The sequence below is a fragment of the Homo sapiens genome, chromosome 1 (assembly GCF_000001405.40).
Source record: "Homo sapiens chromosome 1, GRCh38.p14 Primary Assembly".
Classification (NCBI taxonomy): domain Eukaryota; kingdom Metazoa; phylum Chordata; class Mammalia; order Primates; family Hominidae; genus Homo; species Homo sapiens.
The window spans coordinates 154,974,379-154,983,307 of record NC_000001.11 but is presented as its reverse complement, the minus strand read 5'-3'; the positions used below and the strand labels follow the sequence as shown (position 1 = coordinate 154,983,307).

The 8,929-nt window shown below is 46.3% G+C and overlaps 1 protein-coding gene and 1 non-coding gene across 3 annotated transcripts, besides 7 other annotated features; both read right to left on the bottom strand.

Moving 5' to 3' along the window:
* Positions 52 to 231: a silencer, noted in NCBI's record as "silent region_1372". NCBI's record gives its function as "represses an Ori minimal core promoter by ATAC-STARR-seq in GM12878 lymphoblastoid cells {active_cell/tissue: GM12878}" and the evidence as "EXISTENCE:reporter gene assay evidence [ECO:0000049][PMID:35858748]".
* Positions 52 to 711: a biological region, named in NCBI's record as "OCT4-NANOG-H3K27ac-H3K4me1 hESC enhancer GRCh37_chr1:154955073-154955670".
* Positions 114 to 711: an enhancer, noted in NCBI's record as "OCT4-NANOG-H3K27ac-H3K4me1 hESC enhancer chr1:154955073-154955670 (GRCh37/hg19 assembly coordinates)". NCBI's record gives its function as "activates a minimal SCP1, AML or CMV promoter by ChIP-STARR-seq in primed H9 embryonic stem cells {active_cell/tissue: H9 hESC(primed)}" and the evidence as "EXISTENCE:reporter gene assay evidence [ECO:0000049][PMID:30033119]".
* Positions 1,312 to 1,909: an enhancer, noted in NCBI's record as "H3K27ac-H3K4me1 hESC enhancer chr1:154953875-154954472 (GRCh37/hg19 assembly coordinates)". NCBI's record gives its function as "activates a minimal SCP1, AML or CMV promoter by ChIP-STARR-seq in primed H9 embryonic stem cells {active_cell/tissue: H9 hESC(primed)}" and the evidence as "EXISTENCE:reporter gene assay evidence [ECO:0000049][PMID:30033119]".
* On the bottom strand, positions 4,057 to 8,627 carry CKS1B (CDC28 protein kinase regulatory subunit 1B). Of its 2 annotated transcripts, none has more exons than NR_024163.2 (3): positions 8,396 to 8,627; positions 5,194 to 5,321; positions 4,057 to 4,583 (listed from the first exon to the last, which is right to left on the bottom strand). NR_024163.2 is itself a non-coding variant. In NM_001826.3 (3 exons), the coding sequence occupies exons 1-3, from the start codon at positions 8,560 to 8,562 to the stop codon at positions 4,531 to 4,533; spliced, it is 240 nt and encodes a 79-aa protein (NP_001817.1). In that variant the 5' UTR covers positions 8,563 to 8,627; the 3' UTR covers positions 4,057 to 4,530. The 2 variants fall into 2 exon arrangements, 1 of the variants encoding a protein (NP_001817.1); NM_001826.3 differs by having other exon boundaries at positions 8,504 to 8,627.
* On the bottom strand, positions 7,525 to 7,615 carry MIR4258 (microRNA 4258). Its single transcript, NR_036212.1, has one exon. It is a non-coding gene; the product is annotated as a microRNA 4258 (primary transcript).
* Positions 8,222 to 8,281: an enhancer, noted in NCBI's record as "active region_1800". NCBI's record gives its function as "activates an Ori minimal core promoter by ATAC-STARR-seq in GM12878 lymphoblastoid cells {active_cell/tissue: GM12878}" and the evidence as "EXISTENCE:reporter gene assay evidence [ECO:0000049][PMID:35858748]".
* Positions 8,382 to 8,531: an enhancer, noted in NCBI's record as "active region_1799". NCBI's record gives its function as "activates an Ori minimal core promoter by ATAC-STARR-seq in GM12878 lymphoblastoid cells {active_cell/tissue: GM12878}" and the evidence as "EXISTENCE:reporter gene assay evidence [ECO:0000049][PMID:35858748]".
* Positions 8,802 to 8,891: a silencer, noted in NCBI's record as "silent region_1371". NCBI's record gives its function as "represses an Ori minimal core promoter by ATAC-STARR-seq in GM12878 lymphoblastoid cells {active_cell/tissue: GM12878}" and the evidence as "EXISTENCE:reporter gene assay evidence [ECO:0000049][PMID:35858748]".

The following is an 8,929-nucleotide window of genomic DNA, read 5'->3' as shown; positions in this document are numbered from 1 at the left end:
TAGCTGACATTGAATGGTGATTTTGGCTGTCGCTTAGACTCTTCCAGGGTCCCATTGGTGTATTCAACTGTCGCTCTCAGGCTTTAGCCAGTGGATGGGAGCAGGGCCGGATTGTTATAGGCGACAACCACGTGGTCACTTCTCGCCCGGAAATACGGGGGCCGGACCTTAGCCCACGGTCGGGGGCGGGACCTCGGGAGTTTAGGGCGGGAAAGGAGCCGTAGTTAAAGGTGCTGTAAGGCCCTCGGGGAGTTTCTGGTGCTGGATTCAAATAATTGTTATGCATGTGTTGCTTTGTTTTGTTTTGTTTAATGGGTCAGTTAGCCATGGTTTAAGCTGTTTTCATTCACCGTGACTCTAACACTAGGCTAAGGGCTTTTACTGGAGTGAGAAAGCATCTTATTTATAGCAGAAGGAAGTTGGAGGGACACCGAGAAAGATTATTACCACTGTCTGTCGGATATGAAGACCCTGGAGTAGGTGAGCTTTTGATGTGTGGAACCTTAATTTATCTCTAGTATAGTAGACAAAACGAATTACTTAAATCTCTTTGACAAGAAAGAGTCCAAAAACCCTCTCTTCCTCCACCTTGCTCCAGATGGTGCTTAGTTCAAATGACCTTTCCCAGTAATTGGTCTTGTAGGTGCAAATGAGGCAGCGAATAGGGAGTGCCTTACATGTTTACTCTGGATCCTCACATCATCCGAGCTTACCCCCATTTCAGTTGCCTTTGTTCTAAAAGTACATCTTAAACTTTTTTCCAACAATAATCTGGGGATCTTTTCATATGCAGATTGATTCAGTAGGTTTGGGTGGGGCCTGAGATCTGCATTTAGCTAGTTCCCATGTGATGGTGATCCCACTGCTCTATGGACTACATTTTGAATGGTAAGGGCCCGAATTCATTCTTTGTTTTTTTGAGACGGAGTCTCCCTCTGTCACCCAGGCTGGAGTGCAGTGGCGCGATCTCGGCTCACTGCAAGCTCCGCCTCCCGGGTTCACGCCATTCTCCTGCCTCAGCCTCCCGAGTAGCTGGGACTACAGGCGCCCGCCACCATGCCCGGCTTTTTTTTAAAAATTTTTTTATTTTCATTTTTTTTTTAGTAGAGACGGGGTTTCACTGTGTTAGCCAGCATGGTCTCGATCTCCTGACCTCGTGATCCGCCCGCCTCGGCCTCCCAAAGTGCTGTGATTACAGGCGTGAGCCACCGCGCCGGGCCGAATTCATTCTTTGTAGGACTGGTAAACCACACCTTGCCAAATTTTACTCTTCAAAACCCTTGGTCGGGCGCAGCACTTTGGGAGTCTGAGGAGGGAGGATTGCTTGAGTTCTCTCAATTGAAAAAAAGAAAAAAAGGCCGGGCGCGGTGACTCACGCCTGTAATCCCAGCACTTTGGGAGGCCGAGGCGGGCGGATCACCTGAGGTCAGGAGCTGGAGACCAGCCTGATCAACATGGAGAAACCCCGTCTCTACTAAAAACACAAAAAATTAGCCGGGCGTGGTGGCGGGAGCCTGTAGTCCCAGCTACTCAGGAGGCTGAGGCAGGAGAATGGCGTGAACCCGGGAGGCGCAGCTTGCAGTGAGCCGAGATTGTGTCACTGCACTCCAGCCTGGGCGACAGAACGAGGCTCCATCAAAAAGAAAAAAAATACCCTGTAAGATACACATCATGCTCATTTTACAGATGAGGAACAGGCTCAGAAAGGTGAAGGGATGCCACACAACCACAAAACACAGTGAATGGTGGACCCAGGTGATCAGGTGTCTAGACCATTCTTTTAAGTAATAAGCCCCCCCTCCCTTTTTTTTTTTTGAACCAGGGTCTCTCTGTTGCCCAGGCTCGAGTGCAGTGGCGCAAGCACCGTTCACTGCAGCCTCGACCTCCTGGGCTCAAGTGATCCTCCCATCTCAGACTCCAGAGTAACTGGGACCACAGGGGCGCCCCACCATGCCTGGCTAATTTTTGTATTTTTAGTAGAGACGGAGTTTGGTCATGTTGCGCAGGCTGGTCTTGAACTCCTGGGCTCAAGTGATTCCCTGCCTTGGCCTCCCAAAGTATTGGGATTACAGGTGTGAGCCCCCGTACTTGGCCCTCATTTCTTTCAATTATAAAAAGTCAGCTCTTTGAAAAAAAAAAAAAGGGCAAAACAAGAATTCCACTTGCCTAGTAAACCACATGTTCCAATATCTTTATTAGCAATACAGGTGATATTTGATCCCCTCCCAAAACAGAATACCAAGACTGTTCCAGTATTTTCCTAGTGGATTCTCAAGCTTAAGTGTACATCAGAATCAGCTGGAGAGCTTGTTAAAACATTGCTGTGCCCAATCCTGAGTTTAGGATTCAGTAGGTCTAGGTTGTTGCCCAATAATTTGCATTTCTAATGAATTTTCCCGATGTTGATGCCTGCTATTTTAGGAATAAGTGGATGGAAGACAGGAAAAATGGGGGAGATTAATATCCTTACTTAGTACTAGTATTTTTTTTTCTTTTTTTTTTGAGGCGGAGTCTGGCTCTGTCGCCTAGGCTGGAGTGCAGTGGCGCAATCTCGGCTCACTGCAAGCTCCGCCTCCCGAGTTCACGCCATTCTCCTGCCTTAGCCTCCCGAGTAGCTGGGACTACAGGCGCCCACCGCCTTGCCCAGCTAATTTTTTTGTATTTTTAGTAGAGACAGGGTTTCACCATGTTAGCCAGGATGGTCTCGATCTCCTGACCTCATGATCCGCCAGCCTCGGCCTCCCAAAGTGCTGTGATTACAGGCGTGAGCCACGACGCCCGGCCACTTAGTACTACTGTTTTGTTAGACTAGAGGGGAAGTTATTATTCTGTGGAATGTTTTTTTTTTAAATTGAGACACAGCTTCTGTCGCCCAGGCTGAGTGCAGTGGTGTGATCTTGGCTCACTTTCACCTCTGCCTCTCGGGTTCAAGCGATCCTCTCACCTCAGCCTCCTGAGTAGCAGGGATTACAGGCACACACCACGCCCGGCTAATTTATTTTTATTTTTTTGAGACAGAGTTTCACTCTTGTTGCCCAAGCTGAAGTGCAATAGCGTGATCTCAGCTCACTGCAACCTCTGCCTCCCAGGTTCAAGTGATTCTCCTGCCTCAGCCTCCGGAGTAGCTGGGATTACAGGCGTGTGCCACCACGCCCGGCTAATTTTGTTTTAGTAGAGATGGGGTTTCACCATGTTGGCCAGGCTGGTTTCAAACTTCTGACCTCAGGTGATCCACCCACCTCAGCCTCCCAAAGTGCTGGGATTACAGGCATGAGCCACTGCACCCAGCCTAATTTTTGTATTTTTAATAGAGACGGGAGTTTCACCATGTTGGCCAGGCTGGTCTCGAACTCCTGACCTCAAGTGATCTGCCCTCCTTAGCCTCCCAAAATGCTGGGATTACAGGTGTGAGCCACCACGTGTGGCCTGGAATGTTTTCTTAAACAGCTACATTTTGCACCTGTTTTCTCAAAGCTTAGTTCTTTACCTACCTGCATAAGATGCCTGAAATCTTTACCCCCAGTCCACACTCCAGACCAATTAAGAATCCTTAAGAATGACTCAGGCAGGCATCAGTACTTGTAAAGCTCCCCAGGTGATTCCAACGCCCAAGCCAAGTTAAGAACAGCTGAAAACCTTCCCCAACCAAGGGGCACAGTGAATAGGTCATAGATATGCCTATTATTCCTATTAGGAATTGGGACACACAAGCAGCCCCTGACTGACAGCATCCTTTTATCCATGTGTGCCATTCAAATATTGGGACTATGTTAAAGGCAGCACCCCGACTGTAGGAAGCAGTTCATTTGTTTGGATGAGATGAAGTTGTCCCTATATAACCTCTACCTCAGGCTAGTAGTTAGAGTGAAATATATTTCAGTAGATGTTTGACAGCAAGTCTGCTTAAAGTAGATTAAAAACCAGTTATCTCAATGTTAAACCTCATTATCAGCAAAGAGCTGAGCTTCATTATCAAACTGAAGGGCATATAATTAGAACCATGATATTGATGATGCTCACCCTGAGTGAGGGGGAAAAAACCCGTACAATTACAGCACTAGATTATAAAAACTTCCTCTTTAATCAAGGCTTTTAACATGAACAGATTTCTTGAATAAAATGGAAAGTTTCCAGTACACTGAAACATAAATCCGCAAGTCACCACACATACAACACCCGGCAGGAAAAAACAAAAACAGCAAGTTTACATGATCCCTGTAACAGCCATGGTCTCAAACTCAGATGCTTCCTCCATCTGCCAAGTGTGTTCTGGATACAGAGCACATCGTGGCTTCTGGGGTCACACTCAGCTTAGGCTGTGGGTCCACAGAGCACTCATCTGGCTGGGCTATGGTGGTGGTGGCTCTACTCAAGAAGCAAAGCAGTTACCAGCACATTCAAACAGTGTATTGAACATCTTTTAAATATCAAAGTGAGAAACAAGAAGGCAACATAATAATGTTATCAGAAAGATGTTAGGAAGTAAGGACAGCTGTGTAAAGCTTGAGGCTGAAAAGTAGCTTGCCAGCTTCATTTCTTTGGTTTCTTGGGTAGTGGGCGCCGGAACAGCAAGATGTGAGGTTCTGAAAGAGTGAGGGAAATCTAAGAGACAAGCTCACACCATTCTATGTACAACCTATAGTGTATTCCACTACCACCTCCCCAGCTATCACCCACTCAGATCTTTATAACTAAATAAAGACTTAAGCATATGGCCTTAGAAGCAGACCCAGAAGTCTGGACTGTCTGCCAAGTACAGAATTGTTAATATCAGTTCTTTTGCTATGTTTATACAGCCCCAGGGTGTCCCTTATTAGTTTTGCCTGGCAGCTGGGTGTCTGGTGTCTTATCAATAAATATACTTTCCTTTGCTTATTTAGAACACATCCAAGAATGTTTTCGATGGAGAATGAGGCAGGGGCTATGATCAGGCTATATGTGGCCTTAAAAAGAATACCCTCTGATTGAATGAAAGATTACAGGAGGTTTTTCAGTGACAGGTTGTCTCTGAACTTCCCAGATATTTTAGTCTTATTTTTGGTCACTAGTTTTTTTTTAAAAAAATCCCCCACGACTGGAGGGGGAAGGAACCAGTAAACCATTTCCTATCTCCCTATTTGGGTTATACAATCTTATTCTTTCATTCTCTCAGTGTAGCAGTTCTATATGGTTGTTTTTAGCCAGTGCACTGACCTGGTTCATGGATCATATAATGGACCCATCCCTGACTCTGCTGAACGCCAAGATTCCTCCATTCAGATTCAGACATCAGATGGGTTTTAGGGACCAGCTTGGCTATGTCCTTGGGCAGCATGACATGTCTGTAACAGAAACGGGGAAGTGGGGAATTTATGTTAGTACCAGATACAGTCTCTTAGACAAATGCCTGTTTACAAGGCCAAGAAAGGAAAGAAAAACTGGTTTTTGATGTCAGAGTTTATATAATTTTATTGTGGGGTAGCAGCAGCTAGAAATACAGGCTATGTTATATAAATTCCGAGAGTATATTAAAAATACAAATTAGTGAATAATTCCAGTGAATGAGCACTTAAGTTCAAGGCACATTTTCTCCGCCTTCATGGACCTTATAGTCTTCTAGTTGATTATCTACAACATAATGGGAGCCCCACGGAGCACACAGTGTTAATAATTAGAAGGAAGGAAGAGAAGTTATTTTGTGGCGAGGAAAGGCCTTTTATGAAGTACTGTGTGGACAAGTTATTACAAAGGATGAAATGAACTATCTTGTCCTTTAAAATCTAAGCCAGGCATGGTGGCACAAACCTACAGTCCCAGCTACTTGGGAGGCTGAGGCAGGAGGGTCATTTGAACCCAGGAGTTTGAAAAAGATACAGTATGAAGTTTGAAATCTGATTAAAATACAGAAGAAATAGGCCAGGGGCGGTGGCTCATGCCTGTAATCCCAGCACTTTGGGAGGCTGAGGTGGGTGGATCACTTGAGGTCAGGAGTTGGAGACCAGCCTGACCAACAACGTGAAACCCCGTCTCTACTAAAAATACAAAAATTAGCCGGGTGTGGTGGCATGCACCTGTAATCCCAGCTATTTGGGAGGTTGAGGCAGGAGAGAATCCCTTGAATCCAGGAGGCGGAGGTTGCAGTGAGCTGAGATCTGGGCGATAGAGTGAGATTCCGTCTCAAAAAAAGAGAAAAAAAATAAGAAAAAAGAAAGGGCTGCAATGCACAATGGTTGTGCCTGTGAATAGCCACTGCACTCCAGTCTGGGCAACAAAGCAAGACCTTGTCTCTTAAAAAAAAAATTAAATCTATCCTGAATCTTATTTTCCTAACTCTGGAGGGATGTACCTTGAGACTTTCTGGGTAAATTCCGTGCTTTTCTAACCAAGGATAAGTCTCCCTTCATAGCAAAAAAATTATTACCCTGATGTGAATCAAACTAATCCACATAGTCTTCGTCATGCTCAATGAAAATGTACTAAGTTCTCCCTCTGTGCTAGTAACAGTGATTCCCCACCATTCTCCTAAAAGAAAAAATTCTAGTCCAAATATAATGAAAATAGCTCACATTCTAACACCACCCTGGCACGAAATTTGGCTTCAATACATACACCAAAAAACCCCTCTTAAACCAAAGTGCCACTGCCAAGAGTTTCATCTTCCAGGGGATGAAATGGTGATTCCTTCCCAGCTCCACAAATCTCTTATAAGCACATACAGTTTTAAGTTAGTTTAGTTCAGATGTAGAGGAAAACAGCTGAGGAAAAGAAAGTTAATTAAAGGAGGGTCTGGAGCCGTCTTGGCATAAAGATGATTATGTATTTGTCAATGCACATCGAGTTCTCTGGAAGACCCAAAGCCCTGAACTAGGCTGGGTGAAGAGACACAAGAAAAGCAAGTTTTCATTTTATGTTCTCCAACTGAGGAGACAAGATACAAACCAGGAAGTGGTCTTAATTATTACAATTAATACAGATTAGCATAATGCCAACATTTGTGGAATCCTGTGTCTTCCCTTATTCCCAATCTAGATTATGCACTTAAAATTTATCAAGCCCGAATGCCACATCCAGTGCCAGGATTCCATCATCACCATCCTTGGCAGATGGCTATCCAGTGTCTTCTAAACAATTTCAGTCAAGAGGTGCTTCCTCCCACATACCTTTTTCTTAGAGTCTCATCTCAGGCTCTGCCCTCTAGGAAGCTTTCCCCAACATTCCCTCTTCCGTTTTTCCTCTCAGTATTTTAAGTTTCATGTTCAAGGGTACATGTGCAGGTTTGTTATATAGGTAAAATCCTGACTCGGGGGTTCGGTGTACAGGTTATTTCATCACCCAGGTACTAAGCATAGTACCCGACAGTTTTTTTTTTTCCTGAACCTCTACCTCCTCCCACCCTCCTCCCTCAAGCAGGCCCCAATGTCTGTTGTTCCCCTCTTTCTGTCCCTGTGTTTTTATCTCCGACATATAAATGAAAACACGCGTAGTTTACTACTGGTTTCGTTTTCAATGGTGGTGAAAGAGACATCACGCTGAATTGGCCCTTAGGACACTCCCCCGCCCCCAAACCAAGCCCAGGGAAGAAGACCGACCGAAAGTAAGAGGTCAGCCTCCAAGGCGGTGGCGGGGCGGGGGGCGTTCTCGAAGCGTGGGATGGGGGAGCGTCCTGGAGTTAGCAAAAGTAGGGGACTGACTTTCTAGCCCCACCTCAACCCCCGCTCACAGCTAGGAAGCCGCAGCCTTCGGGTCGCCAGTTCCCTCTCCTTAGCAAGTCTTGTGTGCTCCCATCACACCCTGTAATGGCTCCTTGCATAGCGTGTGTCACCTTTCTGGTGTCTGTCGGTACCACCCACAGATTTTTAAATTTGTGAACAGCAGAGACCATGTGTTATCCTTGCACTTTAGCAGAACACCTGAAACCTGTTAAGTATTCCGTAACTGTTCCCTTTGATATTTAAAGGGCATCTATTAGACCCATATTAAGTATTTTCTCAATGCTCCTAGCCAGTTTTATTCCATTGCAGTCCCAAGCGATCCCCTTCCTTACACAAGCCAGACAACCACGCCCCTTGTCTTTTTCACGAGTTAATAAGCAATATTCAACTCTCTCAGCGCTACTCTCCTGTTAGGGACGCCAGGAAACTTCCAGCTCCGCTTTTGCTACGTTCTCCCACTGGATTCGACAAGATTACTGTGAAACAGTCTCTACAAGGCAAGTTAAGTTTGCCCGATAAAGTTCAGAGAATGATCCAGAAAGCCTCATGGGTGAGGGTGGTCAGTACCCTAACCACGCCCACCCCTCTCTCCTCTCTACTGAGAGGCGACTCCAAATTCGCAACCACTTTGTTTTACGAGCGCCTCCCACCTCCGCGCATGCGCCTTACGCCTTCCACAATATCACACCATTGCCCGTTCGCACCTCGTACGCATGCGCCAATTCTATCGCCTCAGTTCCTGTTACTAATTCCTTGTGCCCTCAGCGGCCAAAGCTCACGACCCTCGCTATTGCTCCCGCGCCAGCACTAACCGATACTCAAACTCCTCGTCGTCGTATTTGTCCGAATAGTAAATTTGTTTGTGCGACATGATCGCTCGGTTTGCTAGCCTTCAGCCCCGCGCCGCCAACCTCCAAGCAACTCCCAACAGCACGCGCTCCCACCCACTTTGGCCTCGCTTTCAAACACGCCGCCCGCACTTCCTATTGGTCCGTTTGGCTCGAGGCGGGACACCTCTACTTTCAAGCCTCCGATTGGCTTAGATTTACTTCTCTTCGGATCCTTATTGGAGGGCAGTTCTCACGCTTCTCAAGAACGAGCGTGGGTCAAAAGTAGGCGTCTTATTGGCCACCACTGCCTTTGTGCGCGATCTCGCGCTGCCATTGGCTAACTCGGGAAAGTGGGAAGCGTGAAGGAGGGACCCTGAGGTAGAGGGTCAGGGGTTAGTGAGGCCGGAA

Coding starts and splice junctions, on each gene's coding strand:
- CKS1B (NM_001826.3), bottom strand. CDS start 8,562: ATGTCGCACAAACAAATTTACTATTCGGACAAATACGACGACGAGGAG. Junction 5,322..8,503: donor GACGAGGAGTTTGAGTATCG/GTTAGTGCTGGC, acceptor TTTCTGTTACAG/ACATGTCATGCTGCCCAAGG. Junction 4,584..5,193: donor TTATATGATCCATGAACCAG/GTCAGTGCACTG, acceptor TCACTCTTTCAG/AACCTCACATCTTGCTGTTC.